This window comes from Homo sapiens, chromosome 2 (genome assembly GCF_000001405.40).
Source record: "Homo sapiens chromosome 2, GRCh38.p14 Primary Assembly".
Lineage (NCBI taxonomy): Eukaryota > Metazoa > Chordata > Mammalia > Primates > Hominidae > Homo > Homo sapiens.
In genome coordinates this window covers 84,541,230-84,562,565 of record NC_000002.12, presented here as the reverse complement: position 1 = coordinate 84,562,565, position 21,336 = coordinate 84,541,230, and the positions used below count along the sequence as shown (strand labels likewise).

Below are 21,336 nucleotides of genomic sequence, written 5' to 3'. Positions count from 1 at the left end.
AAATCATAGCATCTGGCATTAAGGATCCATGACTCATAGGATCACAAGCCCCACTTTCTTATTGTTTACCTTTGCCCCTACAACATTGAGCATCTTTTCATTTTTAACCTTTTTGAATCATTTTCTTTTGGATTTCTCTCTTATATCCAGCATACTGTTTTGTCTTGTCTTGTGAGCCAAACTGAAAATCTTTTTCTTTTAATAGATGAATTGAGCTCATTTATATTCATCACATTACTGATATATTTGGTTCCAGCTTGGTCATATTATTTTCTATGTGTCTTATGGTTATATGTGTGCTTCTTTCTTTCTTTCTCTGAGTGACGATATATTTTTTAAAAATACCATTAGTCACTTGTTTCCTTATTAACCTTTCATACTTTGATTTGTTGGGTTTTACTGATATTCTTTAATTCCAGCCTATTAACTGTACCTCAATCAATAACCTTATTCTACTTTTCTCTTATTCTCCTCCTTCTCTATTTTTACAGTTGCACTATTTCTACTTCATTAGAACATACATTTATATACTAGTTTCCTATTCTTGTATCTATCTTTTTTTAGGCTTATATAGATCTACAATTAAATATGTTAAATATTCCCCATCAGCATCAGCTTTTTTCCCCCAAAGTTATTTCTTAGCTAGATGAAACTCATCCTGTAGTAGGTTCCTAATAAGCACCAAATTCCCTGGGTTCTTGCATGTTGAAAACTATTTTTGTATCTCATTGTGGTTTTGATTTGCATTTCTCTGATGGCCAGTGATGATCAGCATTTTTTCATGTGTCTTTTGGCTGCATAAATGTCTTCTTTTGAGAAATGTCTGTTCATATCCTTTGCCCACTTTTTGATGGGGTTGTTTGTTTTTTTCTTGTAAATTTGTTTGAGTTCATTGTAGATTCTGGATATTAGCCCTTTGTCAGATGAGCAGGTTGTGAAAATTTTCTCCCATTTTGTAGGTTGCCTGTTCACTCTGATGGTAGTTTCTTTTGCTGTGCAGAGAAGCTCTTTAGTTTAATTAGATCCTGTTTGTCAATTTTGGCTTTTGTTGCCATTGCTTTTGGTGTTTTAGACATGAAGTCCTTTGCCCATGCCTATGTCTTGAATGGTAATGCCTAGGTTTTCTTCTAGGGTTTTTATGGTTTTAGGTCTAACGTTTAAGTTTTTAATCCATCTTGAATTAATTTTTGTATAAGGTGTAAGGAAGGGATCCAGTTTCAGCTTTCTGCATATGGCTAGCCAGTTTTCCCAGCACCATTTATTAAATAGGGAATCCTTTCCCCATTGCTTGTTTTTCTCAGGTTTGTCAAAGATCAGATAGTTGAAGATATGCGGCGTTATTTCTGAGGGCTCTGTTCTGTTCCATTGATCTATATCTCTGTTTTGGTACCAGTACCATGCTGTTTTGGTTAGAATGGCAATCATTAAAAAAGTCAGGAAACAACAGGTGCTGGAGAGGATGTGGAGAAATAGGAACACTTTTACACTGTTGGTGGGACTGTAAACTAGTTCAACCATTGTGGAAGTCAGTGTGGCGATTCCTCAGGGATCTAGAACTAGAAATACCATTTGACCCAGCCATCCCATTACTGGGTATATACCCAAAGGACTATAAATCATGCTGCTATAAAGACACATGCACACGTATGTTTATTGTGGCACTATTCACAATAGCGAAGACTTGGAACCAACCCAAATGTCCAACAATGATAGACGGGATTAAGAAAATGTGGCACATATACACCATGGAATACTATGCAGCCATAAGAAATGATGAGTTGATGTCGTTTGTAGGGACATGGATGAAATTGGAAATCATCATTCTCAGTAAACTATCACAAGGACAAAAAACCAAACACCACATGTTCTCACTCATAGGTGGGAACTGAACAATGAGAACACATGGACACAGGAAGGGGAACATCACACTCTGGGGACTGTTGTGGGGTGGGGGAAGCGGGGAGGGATAGCATTAGGAGATATACCTAATGCTAAATGACGAGTTAATGGGTGCAGCACACCAGCATGGCACATGTATACATATGTAACTAACCTGCACATTGTGCACATGTACCCTAAAACTTAAAGTATAATAATAATAAAAAAAAAAAGAAAAAAAAAAGAAAACTATTTTTGTATAGCCTTGATACTTAAAAGACTAGGTTGGCTAGATAAAATTCTTGATTCACATTTTCTTTCCATGAGTTTTTTTTTAAATGCTCCTCCATTATTGCCTTACTTCGTATGTTGTTTTTGAGAAGTCTGATGCTAGTCTAATTCTCTTGTCTCTGTAAGACCTGCAGAAAAATTCTTTAGCCTTAAAATCTAATAATTTTAAAAGGCTATATCTTAGAGTTGATTGTTGTGGGTAATTTTCCAAGAAACTCTGTAGGCCCTTTCAATACACAGATTCAAATTTTCTTTTCCTGAACTATAGTTATAAATGTTTGCTCTATCCTCTTCTTTTGATTTTCTCTTACAGACACACCAATTATATGTATGTTATTTCTTCTTTGCCTGTCTTCCATTATAATTATTTTGTCTCTGAACCATTTTACTGATTTCTCTATCTTATTTTCATTCATTCTCTTGGTTGTTTTCTTATCTTTCTTCTATACTCATTACTTTTTCCCATCATTCTTCTATAGTAGTGTTAAACTTTTGAACTTATTCTCCTTTGAGCACTATATAATTTAGTCTTCATTTCTGAGATGATTTTGTCTTTTTTCTTTTCCATTTGTATTTTTAATTTTTAATTCATTGTGGCTTTTTGTATATTTGAATGCTTCTTTGAGAATATTTACTTCAGTGTGTAGTGTTGTTTTTGCTTCATGGCTGTTAGTAGACTTGCATGTAGTTAATTTTTTTAATTTCTTTAGCTCAGGGATTGGGTGATTTATAAAATTTTTAGTTCAAGAGCATTCTGTTCTGTCAGTAGAGCAAAATGAAATATGTTTTATTTTATTTTATGGTAACAGGAAAAGAGTTGGATATACTCTCATTTATTTGATTTTTTCTTGAGACAGAGTCTTGCTCTGCTGCCCAGGCTGGAATGCAGTGGCATGATCTTGGCTCACTACAGCCTTTGCCGCTGGAGCTCAAGTGACCTTCCCACCTCAGCCTCCCAAGTAGGTTCTTTTTTGTTTTGCAGCACTTACATTTTCAGTAGTTGCTTCATTTTCTCTGCACCATCCAATGTTCAAATAATGCCTCATCTTCTTTAGAAATTTTTTAAATTTTTAAATTTTTATTTTTAACCTTGTTTCCTCCCCCAGAACTAATGGCATCTTGAGTAGCTTGCACTTTTAGGCCTCCTTCCTGTAGACAGTCCTCTGATACACCAGGACTTTTTAAAATCATTTCTGCATGTAGGATGGGCTTCTTTCTGGCTGTGACTTTAGATTAACCTCAGCTCCTTAGATTAACTGCTAGCTTATAAGAATTCCACCATAAGCAGAGACAGTAGTAGGTGGAAAATGTTGTTTGCTTTTAAAATCATACCATGACAGTTACAATCATATGTTGATATGAAATAAAGAGATTGAAACACTATGCTAATTTTAAGTTACATAGGAATGTATATATAATGGATATTTATGACTGACAAATGGGTAAATTTTAGGTTTGAAAATTACAGTATCATTTTGGTGTCAAGAAGAAAAGGCATTTGCAGTATATTGAGGGCTGCATTCCTATTTTTCCATACAGGAGATTAGGTTACCCAGAAATGTAGGAGAGAAGCAAGCCGAGGAATAATGCTTGTTTCTTTACCTTCTCACATCGATCACCTCAATAAGTGAGCTTTTGAGTTTAAAAATTGGGACAAGATAAAAATTTTATGTGTAGAATACTATTTTCAAAGTCTTCAAGCATGCTTTAGTTAGTGCTTGCATTTGAGTGGCTATGGCCCAAAATAGTGAAACACCATGTTTTTGTTTTAACAAAACATTAAACATGTAATGAAAAAATGACTTTAGTAAAAGAAATTGTGTTGGCTGGTGAGTCACCCTGGCTCTGCCTGTGTCTCAGCATCCTCAACAGCCAGGATTACTTCCCCAAAAACACATGCATGTGGATCGATGGATTGCTAATGATAAGTAACTGTTTCTCCAGATATTTTAATGCCTTTTTTTTTTTTTTTTTAGATGGAGTCTCGCTCTGTCACCTAGGCTGGAGTGCAGTGGCGCGATCTCGGCTCACTGCAAGTTTGCCTCCCGGGTTCACACCATTCTCCTACCTCAGCCTCCCAAGTTGGGACTACAGGCACCCGCCACCACGCCTGGCTAATTTTTTGTATTTTTTAGTAGAGATGGGGTTTCAATGTGTTAGCCAGGATGGTCTCGATCTCCTGACCTCGTGATCTGCCCGCCTCGGTCTCCCAAAGTGCTGGGATTACAGGTGTGAGCCACTGTGCCAGGCCCTATTTTAATGCTTTTAAAAAATTATTTCATGCTTAACAGGACAATTTCTAGAGAACAAATATTATTTTCAAATTTTACCATTTAGAGATTTAGGCATATGCCAATTTTCACATGTAGAACATTTAAAGATAAGAAAGAAAAAATATATATTACTTAATTTCATAAAAATTGAGAATATTATAGAATAGTTTTAGTCAGAGTAAACATACCTTTATTTGAGAAATAATTGTGTGAAAATTCTTATCATCCTCAAATACTGCTGCTAAACTTGGCCCAGTTCCACAGGTTTTTCCTTCAAGTTTGTTGTTAATATAAGGGCTGGTGAAAGCATCAAAATACGAATCAGGCACGAGATTAGGAACTGATAACACAGTGTTTTGACAGTGATTAACTGCACCCAAAATACCATCCTGTTAAAGAGAAAAGCATAAACATAAATGTGAACACATATATTTATAAATTTTTTTTTTTTTTTTTTTTTTTTTTTTGAGACGGAGTCTCGCTCTGTCGCCCAGGCCGGACTGCGGACTGCAGTGGCGCAATCTCGGCTCACTGCAAGCTCCGCTTCCCGGGTTCACGCCATTCTCCTGCCTCAGCCTCCCGAGTAGCTGGGACTACAGGCGCCCGCCACCGCGCCCAGCTAATTTTTTTTTTGTATTTTTAGTAGAGACGGGGTTTCACCTTGTTAGCCAGGATGGTCTCGATCTCCTGACCTCATGATCCACCCGCCTCGGCCTCCCAAAGTGCTGGGATTACAGGCGTGAGCCACCGCGCCCGGCCTATAAATATTTTTGAATTTTATGAAATGCTAAAATAAATAAGAATAACTGATTCAACCAGGCTAGGTATTGTGCTGATTCTGAGTATATGACAAATCAAAAGACATGGCCCTAACTTCAGGACATATGTTTTCTAATTGAGAGAGACAAAAAAATTGCAACACATGGTGATGAGTTCTATATTTGAAGTGTGAACAAAACACTAGCAAGTCATAATGGAAGGAAAGCCAAGGAAGTCTATGGGAAAATTTAAAGGGAGGGTTCAAAGTTTATATTCTTTGAGTAGTAATCTATATTCCAGAAAGCTAATCTATGGGAAAAATAGACGTGTAAACAAAGATTTATGTGCAAGGACAATCACTGCAGTATTTCTCATATTAATAACTAATTAGAGAAACCCTTAAGGTTCAAAAGTAGAAGTACAGTTATATAAGTTCTGGTGCTTTTAAACAATGGAAAATTACATATCCTTACAAAATGGCATCTCCCAAAAATCATTTAATGACATGAGAAAAAGCTTATGATATAATGTTAAGTTCGAATAAAAGAGAGTGAGCAGGATATAAAACTGGCATATAATATCTCAATGTAAACATGTATCTATATCTATCTCTGTACATAACCTCATGGTAAGTTAGGTATGTCAGCATATCAGTATGCACTAAAACAAGACTGGACAGAAGCATATAAAAATGTTAATGGGTTTTCATTTTTGGTACATAATATTATGGATTATTTTAATAATCTTTTCCTGTGTTTTTCAAAGTCTCTTCAATCAGCATGAATCAGTTTGTAATTTATAATAAATATAAAGTCTAATTAGAGAAAATGAGATAAAGAAAAGGTAAGTCTTTAAATGAGTCTCAAAAGATGAAGAGGAGCTTGTCGAGTATATCAGACAACAGTATAATCCTTGCTAAGTCATTGTGTGTGGGGCCCAAGGGGGCAGGCAGGTGAGTCATTTAGGTACTGGAGCATCAGCGCTACAGTGCAGAAATAGGATACTCTGCAGATGCAGTCAGCCCCTTCATGAAAGGCCTTGTGCATGATGCCAGTGTTAGCCCATAGGCCAGCAATACCCAAACTGTGACCGGGTACTACCCAGAGGATAAAGGGTCCCAACTTCCAAGGTAAATTTGAGAAGAAATCTTGAGTTACATGAAGTTGAACAGGAATTTTCTCAGGACCTGCTAAACAGGATTTTTTCTATCTGTTAATATACAAATGTATATCACAACCCCCTTTCTCCTGGAATGCTTATCAACAACTCACAGAACATCTTGTGAAAGATGCTACTACAGGCAATGGAGAAATTTTAAGCAGGAAAGGGACATGATTAGATTTGCTTATGAGAATAATCTTGCTGTCAGTAATGTGGAAAATGGACTAGAAGGGAGAGAGGCAGGCAGATCAGAGCAGACTATTTCAGGAGGCCAGAAGAGAGATGATGAGGTCCCGATGGAGAGGAGTGGCAGAGTGGGTGCAACCATGGCTCAGCACACAAGAGCTGATGATCTGATCTCAAGGAGGTAAGGGAGACTCTAGGGGAACTCCCAGATTGCTGGCTTGGGCATCTGGGCATCTAGGAGAACTCTCAGATTGCTGTCTTGGGCACCTTTCATTGAGATGGAGACAGGGAGGGAGGAGCAAGTTTTCGAAGAAATCGATAAGTTCAATTCATATTGGTGGGACGTTCAGGTGAAGATTTCCAGATGACCATGAGTGGGGCTTAAAAGAAAAGTATTGGATCTATAGATAGAGACATATAGATATAGGTAGAGATATAGATAGGTAGATATAGATATAAATATATGTTTACGTCTGCATCCTTGGCACAGAAAAAAGCACCCAGAAAGAACTGTAGGGTGTGAAGAGGAGAGAGCCCTTAAGGATAGCAAGAATCAAGGATCAGATAAAAAAGAGGCTCTTGGAAAGATGACTGAGAAGGAAAAAATGTTGCTACAGAAATAGAAACCAGAGGAGGAGTCTATTTCAATTAAACCAAAGGAGGAGTCTATTTCAAGAGGCAGAAGCAGTAAACAGACTCAAATGCAATGGAGGTTTGTCTCACACACCAAGAAATATTAGAATTCAAAAGTATATATTGAATCAAGTATTAGGAAACGATAGGTAACCTAAGCAAGAGCAAAGTAAGAAATCATGACTTAAGTATATAATTTTCCTTTAGATTAATCTCTATGTGTATGTGTGCTTGGAATCATTGGGAATGATTAAGGCTAATGACTAAAATAATAGCGAAAAAATAGAAAATTTATGAATGATAGTCCTATTTATACTTCTATTGGCTGATTTTGGGTTATATGAAATAAAATCTTATTTTGGTATGAATAGACAAGCATGCTAATTATTCCCAGAGCTTGACCATGTATGTTTCATGTGTAGAAGTTAAAAATACCCATGTGGGGAACAGGGTCCTATAATAGGAAATGAGAAGGGTATCCAGTTTTTTGAGGCCCACCCCTTGGGGGTAAAGGACAGCAAGCTGCTTGTGACAGAGCCTCCTTTTGTCATCTGCAGTCTGGGACACCTGCATCCCATGTGAAGGACATGAGTCTTGTGGCCAGGAGGGGACATGAGAGCCCAGTGCCTCTTGGCATGAGAGCTCCTAAGCGAGCTTCCAATCACAGGGACCTCAGTAGTCTGCTTGTCATTGTAAATGCCTTCAAATTGCCTATCCCATAAATTACAGAATCATACACTGTGGAGGAGGAATCAATGCTAGAACTCATATGCCTTCTCATCATATAAACACAGAAACTGAACCCCAGAAGCGGTTTTCCTAAAGTCAAATAGCTTATTAATTGTAAAGGCAGGACTAAAATCTAGAGATCCTGATTACTAGTGCTTTTGAATCAGAGTACAGCAGCTAACAACAGAAGATACAGACATTGACTGGTTTACTAACCTATGCACCTATGCAAATGTAGTAGGCAGAATTCTAAGATGACCCCCAAAATTCCTGCCCCTGTGTACATATGCTGTTCAATCCCCTCCTCTTGAGTATGGGTGGGAATTGTGAATATGATGGGATGCCAGTCCCATGATTAGGTTACGTGATGCAGCAAAGGTAGGGGGATATTGCAGGGTCCCAACTCAGTTGTTTTCGAGTTAGTCAAAAGTGATTATCCTTGATAGATGTGACTGAATCAAGTGAAAGCCCTTAAAAGAGGGATTGAGCCCTTCCTAAGAGAGTGGTCCATCTGCCCTTGAAGAAGTGAATGGCCATATTGTAAACTGCCTAGAGAGTGGGCCACATGGCAAGGAACTACAGATGGTTTCTCGGACCTAAGTAGGGTGGTCCTTGGCTGACACCCCTCAAGGAAATGGGGATCTCAGTCCTACAGTTGCTTAGAGCTGAATTCTTCCAGCAGCCTGAGGGAGACCAAGACTTTGAAACAGACGATAATCTGAGTAGCCAGTGAAGCTCCTGACCTACAGAAACTGAGATGATTCATGGAGGATGTTTCCAACTGCTAACTTTGTGGTAACTTGTTACACCGCTATGGATAACTAAGACAACAAAATTCTCTCAGTTCCAGCATACCTTTAAAAAGATTTCACAAATGGTATTTACAGGCTGGGCATGGTGGTTCACACCTGTAATGCCAGCACTTTGGGAGGCAGAGGCAGGTGGATCACTTGAGCCCAGGAGTTCAAGACCTGCCTGGCCACCATGGCAAAGCCGCATCTCTACAAAAAAAAAAAAAAAAAAAAAATAGCCAGTCCTGGTGGCATACACCTGTAGTCCCAGCTACTCAGGAGGCTGAGGTGAGAGGATTGCTTGAGCCTTGGAGGTTGAGGCTGCAGTGAGCTAAGATCACATCATTGCATTCCAGCCCGGGTGACAGAGTGAATCCCTGTTTCAAAAAAAAAAGAAAGAAAAGAAAGAAAGAGAGAGAGAAAGAGAAAAAGAAAGAAAGAAAGAAAGAAAGAAAGAAAGAAAGAAAGAAAGAAAGAAAGAAAGAAAGAAAGAAAGAAAAGAAAAGAAAAGAAAAGAAAGGAAAAGGTATTCACAAGTGATCTCTTCAGTTGTCCTTAAAGGGATCCCTATAGACACTTTTAAATTTTGTATAGAATGTTTTTCTGTACCTTACCAAGCCTCTAATCTGACTCAAGTTAAAGATAATGTGCTAAACTTTTAGATAGTTTATATATAGCTATAATGCTGTGACAAAACAATGCTTTCTCTCTTTCTCATGATCATCTTGGAGTGGTGACAACTGCAATTCTGACAACCAATTGACAGCAAAACAGCTGCTTCATTTTCCAAATAGGTGCTTGCATGTGGATAATACATGAAAAACACACACCAGAAAGTCTTCCAGAGAAGGCTCAAAGAGCAGTGACTGGACTGTCAACATTAGTTCTGTGAGAAACATGGGGATGAGAGATTCATCTTCTTCTTGCTTTTCCACCATAAGGGTCCCCTGAAATGAATATATGTACAGTGTTATAAAGACACAAGTATCAAGGTCTAAAACAAAATAAAAAAACAAGGGACATGTAAACTGAAGTTTATATAATTAGCTGAATTCATTATCTTGGCATGTGGAAAGTGTTTCAGAGAATAATAAAGAACAGAAAGAAAAAAAGGCAAATATTGAAAGACTACATAACAATGTAAACCTTCTCTCCTTGTAAAAATACTACCAACAAAATGGAAAGGCAAACAAACTGGGAAGACATATCAATAATGTATATAGAAGATAGAAAGTTGATAATATTTGAATAGAACTATAGTTGATATACTTAATAGGAATATATGCCAATAATATATTAATGAATCTTTACATAGAAATATATTCAAATACAAATATACTTAAGTAAAAAAATGGGCAAAGGGCATAATCTGAGAATTCTTGAAAGCAAAATACAAATGATGAATTCACCTCCTTATTCTTCTCTTCCTTAAAATAGTTTATTCAGTAACGACATTTGCAGAGAGTTTACTGTGTGCCAGGCATAGTGCTGGGTATTTGTGTAATTTCCACACCAACCTTCTTAAATAGGTTCCATTATTGTTCCCATAGGGTGAAAATGGGATTTGCAGAAGGTAGAATGTTTCATCCAGATCATACTAGCTAGTAGGCGGCAGACCAGAATTCAACCCAGATATTTCTGATTCCTAGATCCATGCCCTGCTTCCTGCCCTGGGGTCATAATTAGAAGAATACAACATTTGAAAGCAGTGATATACCACCTTGTGTATTACCGACACAGATTAAAACGAATGGTAATATTTAGTATGCATGTGGGTAAATGATCATTTGAGCATTCTTTTTTTTTTTTTTTTTTTGAGACGGAGTTTCACTCTTGTTGCCTAGGCTGGAGTGCAATGGCGCGATCTCAGCTCACTGCAACCTCCATCTCCTGGGTTGAAGCAATTCCCCTGCCTCAGCTTCCTGAGTAGCTGGGATTATAGGCACCCACCACCATGCCTGGCTAATTTTTGTATTTTTGGTAGAGATGGCGTTTCACCAAGTTGGCCAGGCTGGTCTCGAACTCCTCACCTCAGGTGATCCACCCGCCTTGGCCTCCCAAAGTGCTGGGATTACAAACATGAGTCACCACGCCTGGCCTAAATGCTCATTCTTAAACATTGCTGTAAACTGACAAAGCTTTCTGGAGAGTATACGTCAGTGTGTACGTATCAAAAGCCTTAAAAATGTGCATATTTCTGACTCAATTCCACATCTAGGAATTTTTTTCTAAGGGGAAAAATCTGAAATGTGTGAAAAATGTATAGACAAGGATACCCTTTGCAGTATTATTTGAAATAGTGGGAATGTGATCAATAATAGAAAATTATTTACAAGAATTATACATTTCTTTGTGAGAATATCACATGGAAAAATATACATTGACATTGGAAATATTTCATAATACTGTATTGCTAAGAGGAAAAAGCAAGGGATAAAGCAGTAAGGAAAGTATAATATCTTTTTTCCCCTTTGAAGTAATTATCTTTGGGTAGCAAAGGTGCTTTTCTTTGTATATTTCTGTGTTTTCCTAATTTTGTACACTTAGCATAAATTACTTTTAGAATAGAAAAATAAATGTGACTTTTAAAATTTTGATACTATTTATAAAAAGGAGAAATTCAGAATAGGGGAGAAGAGAAAGCTATGAAAAGGAGTTCATGACATGATTTAACTTTTGGAAGAAAGGGAAACTCAGGCTGAGAGCATCAGGTTGTGTATTGCATAATTAGCTTTCTGTGGAGTGGGAGATTTAAGCTGTGAGGGTGGGAGGTTTGATGAAATGAGGTGAGCATGTAGGTATTCTGGAAAGAAGCTATTAGTACTAAGGATGGAGCTAGGGCAAAACTTACTGGGAAATTTGAATATGAGATAATATGATCTTTCTTTTAGCTATGCTGGAATGCACGAATTTGTACTACTTCATCCAAACATCTCATAGTACTCTGTGTCTTTAAGATCAACATCCTCATAAAAGGCCATCCCCTCAAAGCACAATAATTTGCTTCTTTTCACCTCTAAACTATTGTTTATCTCTTTTATTTATACCACTTTTCCTGCTTCTCTCTGCCAGTTTATGCCCACAAGGAGCATTTATGTCCCCACGAACTATAAGCTTTTGGGGACAAAGATCCTATCTATGCTTTTCATCACTATATATTCGACATCCAGCACAGGAACTGGCACACAGTAGATACTTAAGAAATATGTCAATGAACACATGAGCAAGCTTTAGCAAGTTCCTGTGACAGGAACTTTCTCTCAGTATGGTGGATTTTTACTCTATTATTAGATACTTGTTGATATGCTGATTTTCAGTCTGCCATTTCATGTGTATTGTAGGCTTTGATTATAACATGAAATACTCTATGCCAGGGGTCCCCAGTCCCCGGGCCTTGGACCAGGTACTGATCCAGGCTGCACAGCAGGAGGTGAGCAGAGGGTGAGCATTACTGCCTGACTTCTGCCTCCCCTCAGAACAGTGGCGTCATTAGATTCTCATAGGAGCCCAAACCGTACTGTGAACTGTGCATGTGAGGGATCTAGGTTGCATGCTCCTTATGAGACTCTAACTAATGCCTGATGATCTGAGGTGGAACAGTTTCATCCCGAAATCATCCCCCACAGTCTGCAGAAAAAATTATCTTCCATGAAACTGGTCTCTGGTGTCCAAAATGTTGGGGGCCGCTGCTCTATGCATTTCTCTTTTTTTTTTAGTGCACAGAAAATAGCATAATTCATAGAGCGTAGTTTGCACTCCTCAATAAATGCTGACCAATAAAATATTCTTAATTTTGTGTGAGTATACCTTTTTATCAGGGACTTCAGGCTTCTCTTCAGTAATCCATTTCTGAATGACATCTGCTGAAGGTGTTCGTTTTAGCTTGTCAGTGAGATGGTTCAAAAGCGAATTAACAGCATTTACCGTTAAGATGTGCATTGTGTTCTCAATTAGATAGTCGTTTAGACGAATAAAGCTTGAAAAGAAAAAAAACTAATACAATTTCGGTTTCTTATATTCACTACATATTTTTGACAGTGTCTCTAAAGCAAATATTTAAAATGTAAAATATCATAATTTCTCCTTGAATTTCCATTTAATTATATTACAATATCAGAAATGTACTGTCCAGAAGAGTTGTCCTTAGATATTCTTCCTTTTAAAACACAAATATATTCAAATATGTAGCATTAATTCAGTTAGATATTCTAACTTTTCAATAGAATATTTAATGAGTGATATAGCTGTTAGGGAAAATGCATCTAGTTTATCTAGCTAAAAGGGCCATAATATTTTTTAAAAGATGCTTTAAAGGAGAAATCGATGCATACAACATCTGTAACTTGCATTCTAATAGTAAAAGTGTAAAATCTTTGCTATTGAATAAATGTTGATGGCAATTGCTAACCCAAAGGTTTGAATTTTACGTTTCCTTACTTGAGTGCTTACTTAGAATGCAGACTGAGTCAGCAAGACATTTAGAATAGTACTATTCTGCTCAAGTGGAGCTCTAAGGCCTCTAATACTTCTAGGTCCACTATGGTAGCCTCAGAGACCGCTTCACTGATTTCTGTTGCTACACAGACATTTTCATATATAAACTGAGATATAGTTAAGATGTATTACATAATTGCAAAAGTTGGATTAAGTCAGTGAGCACTGAATAACAATAATCAGTATTTTATAGTTCCAAAGACATGCGGTTTTAGAATGATGGGAAATCCAAATTCTGGAACAGTCAAGGTCAAGATCCAGTTGGGTAAGCAGGTGTCAGAGCTAGTGCTAATGAGAGTCCCCTGGTGAGGTCCTAGGAGGGATATTTCTCTCTCTGGCTCCCAGTGGCAAATCCCATTTTAGGGATTGGGTGCACCTTTGTGATGTTATGCAGCTGCCTATAGTTCTTCTGTGACCAAAAAGATGGAGCAAGTCCTTCAGGCCCACTTGAGGAGGTCCATAAATCTGTGTGCCTGATTTCTCCCTGCCACAGTCTGCTGTACTGCGAGTCTCCATGCCCAGGCTGGGCCAGAAGGAAACAAAGCCAGAGAGATCAAAGAGGAGCTCTTGGCCTTGGCCTCATGCTCTGTCTCTACCAGCTCACAGTCCCAGAGCTGCTTTGGTTGGTGGCAGTTTGAAAAGGGGGTCTTCTGGGCCATGCATTCAGGTTACCATGTCCCACAAATTTCTCATCACCATTCATGAACAATGTGGTGAAGGGTTCCATTTTTTTTTTCAAGTGAGACATCACTTAGGTCCTAGAAAAGATTCTACTTTTCATTTTAATTTTTTATTGTGTGTACTTAAGGTATACAACATGATGCTTTGATATACATAGTGATATGATTACTTCAGTTATGCAAATTAACATAGTCATCACTTTCTGGGGTTTAATTTTTAATGCAGCTTAAGATGGGTACTACAATTTTTCTTGAAAATGAGAATAATCTTACCACGTCAGCCTCATGCAATAATGCCTTTTGCTGGCCTGTTCTGTATATGTCATTTTCTCAGAGTCTCCATAAGTGGGCAACTCATGTGGTGTATTAATGAAACTTCCACTGCTCTGCACTTTATGATAATCTAAGAATAACAGAAGGAACAACAACAAGTGTACTTGTGTAAAAGTTCCATCTCTTTCAATATGATTCAAAGAAAAGATAAACAAAATTCAAAAACAACAAAATATTTTGGTACACGAAGCAATTCAAACCTGAAAAACAGCCCAATTATCCAAAATAAGTTTACATCAAAGGATTTCAATTCAACAAGATTATAGATAGTTTACTGACATTCTCATTAACAGGATTTGATCTGTATATTATGCTACCTCTTTCCTAGGAACATCTTTACCCTCCTTTTCTACCTACAATTTAGTCAACCTTTATAGTACATGCTAACTGAGTCAATCCTAAGGTCAATCCAGTTCCTTAATTTTAACAAACCTATTGTCTGTGCTAGTAGGCTGGACATATCTTTAAGCAGAGAGATGCTGAGTCCACTCTAAAGTGCTTATTAATCAAGATTCTGTATCCAGTTTAGAAATACTATATACAAACAGGAGTAATGGGAGAAACATGCAGTATTTTCTATTTCCCTCCCTTCCACAAAATACATTAAATTTATAATATCCATCAAATGTTTGGAACAATTCAAACATAGAATCATTATTTAAACTTAAGAAAAGTCAAATAAAAAAGGGCTGAAATTTTAGAAAGCCACCACTTCTGATATATTGAGGTTCTTTCCCCTTCATACCCTCAAAAGGTCCAAATGCACAGTCATCAGGAACAAATCCTGCAGCACGCAAAGCAAATCGACAAGCCCTCCTGACTACATATTTTGCCTCATTTCGAAATTCTCCTAGGCGTTCTGTCACCTAGATATTGTTGAATATGTACAGTTAGTGATACTGAAGTATCAAAAATAGGGAAAAAAGCTTTGATTCTTATAGACAAAATTTGTTACCTCTGCTAGCCGTATGACTTGTGCGGCCTTAAATTCCTGCAGGGTGTAGGTGTGACACTTTTCAATATAACAAAGTCCCATAAAACTCAAATGATAACACAATTCATTTATTTTAAGAAGAGCTGGTCGCAAATGCTGAATGAAAATAGGAATTTATTATTTAGTAAAAATATTCTGTATTTTAAAAGTATAGAACATTCAAAAAGCAAGAATAGTTATTAAGGATAATAAACACCTCTGTGTGTTAACTTTTGCTACAACTACAAAATGCATATGTTAAAAGATCACTTTTATAACTCTTTTCTAAAAGTACTCCTTGAATTATCAGATATAATTTGTCTGAATTCCTTTCTTTTGATTTTGAAAACACATACATGTCTTCCAGCTATTTAAGGAATAAGGCAAGTGATTTAAGGAACTGAGGGCAAGTAATAGAAAACTGGGTGTTACCTTAAGTACTTTACAATGTCCGGTCATAATGATAATGGAAAGGCCCATCTATTAATTTAAGAGGCTGGGACACAGAAGAAAGCCAAATTTAACATTAAATTGTTATTGGGTAACAAGTTGCTTTGGAAAACTGCTTCATGTTTTCTCAAAAGGTTAAACGTAAAGTTGCTAATGACCCAGCAATTCCACTCCTAGGTATGTGCCAAAGAAAAATGAAAACACATGTCTAGACAAAAACTTGTACATGCATGCTCATAGCAGCATTATTCATAATAGATAAAAAGTGGAAGCAATCCAAATATCCATCAATAGATGGACAAATAAAATAGGCATATCCAACATAATTTGCCAACTTTTAAAAATGCTATGCTACAACATAGAAGAAGAACCTTGAAAACATTAGTTAAATAAACAAAAGTCAGTCATAAAGGACCACATACAGTCCTTCTGTATCCTCGGGTTCCAGAGTCATGGATTCCACCAACTGTAGATTAAAAATTTAGTAGGGTCGACAATGCTTGTGTCCATATTAAAGATGAATAGACTTTTTGGGTCATTATTTTCTAAACAATATAGTATAACAACTATTTACATAGCATTTACATTGTATTAGGTATTAAAAGTAATTTAGAGATGACAAAGTATATAGGAGGATTTTTGTAGGTTATATGCAAATACTGTGCCATTTTATATAAGGGACTTGAGCATCCGTGGATTTTGGTATTTGCTGGGGTGGTCCTGGAACCAGTTCCCCAAGACACTGAGAGCCAAGTGTATTGTATGATTCCATGTGTGAAATGTACAGAACAGGCCACTCTATGGAGATAGAAAGTAGATTAGTGGTTGCCTATAGTTGGGGGAAGGGACAGGTAGGTCAGAAAGAAATAGAGAGTGACCACTAATGGGTAATGAGGTTTTCTTTGGAGCGATGCATATATTCTAAAATTGACTGTGGTAATGGTGGATCAATTCTGTGAATATACTAAAAATAATTGAATTGTGTACTTCAGATGTGTGAATTGTATGGTATGTAAATTATATATCAAAACTGTTATAAGGGAATGACATAGGCACGGGTGCCAACAAAATTGGTTATTTTAAAAAAAATCATAAAAAGAAAACGAGGACAACTCGTATGTCTCCCTTCAACCTTGTCTAGGGGAATCAGCCCTAGTTAACTAATTATAAATATAAGACTAGTGGTAAGTGTGTGGGTGATTATAGCATTTAATACATATTTAAACGACTGCAATGAGTCTGTTATTTAGGCCAATCCTTGCTTAAAAGGATGAGAGCTTTCTAGTCTGCTGGGACTAAATTTAAGAGAAGATACTATAAAGGCCGCAACACCACTGGTATGAATGATGGACACAGAATGAAAACTGTCAGCACATAAAATAAGAGAACATGCCTCGAGGACTGATAGAAGTAATTTCAAAGACAAATCAAGAATGAACTATTTTACATACCTAGCAACAAATGTATGATATATGTAGTGTTCAAGACATGGTAAAAGATGAAAGATGGTAAAATAACTTCAAATGACTGATGTATCCTTAATGAAATTTGAGTTTCATGTCAAGAAGGACTGGAATATTTTTTCACAACTCAGAATGCACAATGGAATGGATGACTTGAGATAGTCCCTCTTATATATTTGTCTTGTACTAATATTTATGTTAGCCAGAGACCTTGAATGTTTCCCTATTGTGTGACTGGCATGTTGATAACAGTCTTTCATATTATCATATGCAAAGTGAAGGAAATGACTAGTAAAAAGCAAACTTGAGATAGTGTCATAGAAATAAGACAGCTGAGGACCAGAACTCTGAGTGTGACAGTAATGATGATTGCAGTTTATTCCTAGGGGCCAAGTAGGAAACTTCCAATGCAAGTTGAAATTCAATAGATAGAAATTATAAATATGGTCACACTTTTTCACAGTTTTGTTTTCATGATCACCCTGTTGTCCAAAGTAAATATTAAAAATTTTCCTACTGTATAAATCCATTGTAAAGGAAATATATGATATATTAGGAGGTACTGACCCATGAAAACAAGGCCCTGACTTATTTTGGACTATAAAATCTAGAGTGTCTCAAAGATGAGGGGAGGTAATAGAGGCTACCAGCCTACTCTGCTCAAAATGACATATAACTTTCCTAATCAACAACAAAGGGGATCACAAATCCAAAAACTCTGAGGTGACTTCTAATCAAAAGGGACCTGTGCAACTCTCTTCTTATACTTTTGCATTTTGCAACCCTAGTTAAAATGTAGAAACACCCCTAGATTGCTAGACTCCTAAATGACAAGACAGGATGAAAACTGGGAATTCTCTTAAGAATATAAAATATTTGATTTCAAGAACAGTCTATACCAACAGCTTAATAGATTCACACTTTCTTTTTTTGTAAGTAATTATTTTAAAATATAAATGATAAATACATACAGGATTAACAATGAACAAATTTTTTTGTAGAGATTTTTGACATCCAGTGATTTTCTTGGAGCGGACATTCTTCCTCCATACACTAAAAGCCTTCCATTTCCGGAACAGTGAAAATATGGGAATCTTAGTGAGTTCTCTGTGATACAGATATTCCTGTTCCCATCGATCAATTTCGATAAATTCAATGTCTTCATTATAAATGTGTGTTACTGCCCTTTGGCTAATAGTATAGTAGTCATTTTTATTGATGTTCTCATAACTTACAACTCTATAAACAAATAAAAATTGGGACTAATAAATAAAGTATTCAATACAAAATGAAGCAATTGCATTGCTTTTTTATTCTACAGAGATAAAACATTTCTGGAAAGCAAATATTATTTAAAGTTAAAAAATTCTAACCAACTACTTTCACATTAAATACATTACTCAAGAAAATGAGTTAAACAAGTTGTGCTTATTAAAAAGATTTCACAACTGTGGCAATATTGGCTTGATGATTTCAGTTACATGATTTTTACATTAAAATGAATTGACTATAAATTAATAAAATTTAATAGTTCTACATTAAAACTATCTGGAGCTATTATTAACTCTTCAGAAACTATTCAATATTAATAGCATAAAAGAATTTGGCACTATTAAGTAATGACAGAATTATGAGAAAGATAAAAGGAAACATTAATTAGGTGAGATAAGAATCAAGACCAATATTATATGCCCAATTTATCACCAACAAAATATTTATTATTGATAAATTGTTTAGTTCATAATATCTCTCTTTCAACTGTTGTCATGGACATTCTTCAACTGTATGATTAACAGAAAACTGATCAAGTAAAGAAAAGAAGCAAGAACAGAGTAAAAACAGAAGAAAGGACAGGAGAAAGAAATGAAGCAATGAAAATAGGGCCGATTCTCTAAAACTGCTTAAAATAAAATTTTTCCTACAGCAAAACGATATTCTCTGTAATTTTAGCTATAATGCTGAAATATTGAATGCAAGAAATATTCAGTAATAGAACAAGTGTGAAATATGATATAGCACCTTATTGAAATATATTTAGGAATTTAGGAAAATAACATTTTTCTAAAATGTTTCTCTCTGTTAGGAGAGCTTAGTAAAACAAGATGAAGGTTAAGGGCAAAAACAAAGCCTTAAATTGTTTCTATGTTAAAACTATGCAAAACTTACATGTACTAGGCAGAAATTAGGAACACTCCAGTGAAAATCAGCTATTTTCCACGGCTTTCAGTCCTTGGCTCTACATTCTGAACCTGGAGTCCATGGTCCTTTATTTTATTTATTATTACTATTACTACTATTATTATGATTATCTTTGAGAGGGAGTCTCGCTCTGTTGCCCAGGATGGAATGCAGCCGTGCAAACTTGGCTCACTGCAACCTCCGCCTCCCGGGTTCAAGAGATTCTCCTGCCTCAGCCTCTGGAGTAAGTGGGATTACAGGCGCCTGCCACTATGCCCGGCTAATTTTTCTATTTTTAGTAGAGATAGGGTTTCACCATGTTGACCAGGCTGGTCTCGAACTGCTAACCTCAAGTGATCTCCCTGCCTCAGACTCCCAAAGTGTTGGGATTAAAAGCGTGAGCCACCATGTCCGGGCCACAGCCCTTTAACACAGCCTTCAAGTTATTCATGAAATCCCTGAAAATGTTGTATGGAAAATTCATGTATATATGTACGATAAGTTTTTAAGACATTGGAACAAAATTCTATGTTTTGGGTCTGTTAAAAGAAGTTAAGAACCACTGGTATAAATCATTTTTAGTTTTTAATTTCTATTTTCATTTTAATAAAACTGAGTAACAAAAATATTTTTAAAATTATGGCACACGGGACCAGAATGAAAGCAAACCCAAACCAACAGCTGTTCATGTGAGCCTGCAAGGAGATGTGGGGGGCTGATGGTGCTGTGCGAAGTGGGAGAGGAATAGTCCCTCCAACTTCAGGGCTGCCATGGAAAAGCTTCAACCTGCTCGGCTTTTACCTGATACCACTATCTGACTTTTTGTCTGTGTTCTAATTAACTCACCCCAGAAATGTCTGGAAAAATGCCAGGTATTGCACAGGGCTGGTGAGGAATATGGAATACATTTTACATGTCTTTCCTTTTCTCGTTGTCAATAGCTAAAGATATAATTAGGGTATTCTTGGGGTGATTCTCTCTAAAATGTAAAACTTCAATTTGCCACTGAAATTATAACAAACTTCAGATGTTTCATTAACATCAGGCATCAAAGCAACCTAAAAACAAGAACAAATTGCTGACCACGGCCCTGGTGCATGTCTGGAAAACTTGCTCTGTGTGATCTATCTGCTACTGATGGCCCTTCTAGAAGATGGTAGCTGTGGTCCATGATGTTGAATTCTAACTTGGTGCTCAGTGCCACTTAGGAATTCCTTTTATTTGTATTTCTCTTCTTATCGCAGAACTTCATTCTCAAGCCCCCAAGTCTTTTCCTTCTTTACACATCTGTACTGTTCATTGAACAACTGAACACACGAGAGCCCTTTCAAAGGTTGGATCATCAGCATCAAAATCATCCGGGGTGCTTATTAAGAATCTAGATTTCTGAGTCCATCGCAGAATGAGAATCTTTATGTATTCCAAGACTCAAGGATAGTGAGATGCCTGGGTGATTGCGATACACAATAATGTTTGTGAACCACCAAACTTTATTTCAAAGCAAATAACAAAAAAAATGTGAAGACAAGGCAAGCTCCCTCTCACATCTTCACTTGAAGTTCAACATACCATGTTTTTTCCCCCTGATTGTTTCTCTCATGCTTTCCTCCAAATGGAGATGGAGAGGTTTCACCTCACTTTTCTCTAACTCTCCCTAGTTTTTTGGTTTCTTTTCCTCCACATCTAAAAGTGTGCAGAATGTCCCTTTAGCACATAGAAAATCTTTTCTTGACCCTGCCACCTACTTAACTAAAATCCCACACTTTTCTTCTTCTTTTAAGTTTCCTTTATAATGGTGTGTGTCAATGGCCACATCCACCTTATCCATTCCTTCTTAGAGTTCCAGAAAAACGGTTTTGTTTCCTGTTACTTTAATGGAATTATTTTTCCAAAGATCAACAGGACTTCCCTCAAGCCCAATCCAGTCGGTAGGTAGAAGGGGCCGCAGGGTGAGGAAAAGATTTGCTTAAAAGACAGTGTATGTACATTTCTCTGTAATCCTATTCTTAGACTTTCCAGTTCATTACTGAGAGGTCATCCCCCAGATCTACTCCTTGGACTGGT

The 21,336-nt window shown here is 36.7% G+C and overlaps 1 protein-coding gene across 14 annotated transcripts in view; it reads right to left on the bottom strand.

The window, feature by feature from the left end:
* The window catches only part of DNAH6 (dynein axonemal heavy chain 6), a 360,018-nt gene that overhangs the window by 257,024 nt on the left and 81,658 nt on the right, over positions 1-21,336 (bottom strand). For 10 of the 14 annotated variants that reach the window (XM_011532650.4, XM_011532649.3, XM_006711956.3 and 7 more), the window contains 7 exons: positions 18,066-18,333; positions 15,164-15,298; positions 14,954-15,074; positions 14,149-14,278; positions 12,509-12,677; positions 9,532-9,648; positions 4,631-4,831 (listed from right to left, as the gene is read on the bottom strand). In XM_011532650.4, coding sequence (XP_011530952.1) covers positions 4,631-4,831; positions 9,532-9,648; positions 12,509-12,677; positions 14,149-14,278; positions 14,954-15,074; positions 15,164-15,298; positions 18,066-18,333 — 1,141 coding nt within the window. Of the gene's footprint in view, positions 1-4,630; positions 4,832-9,531; positions 9,649-12,508; positions 12,678-14,148; positions 14,279-14,953; positions 15,075-15,163; positions 15,299-18,065; positions 18,334-21,336 lie in introns of those variants that run through there. The other 4 variants (XM_047443589.1, XM_011532657.1, XM_011532655.2 and 1 more) reach the window with 3 other exon arrangements.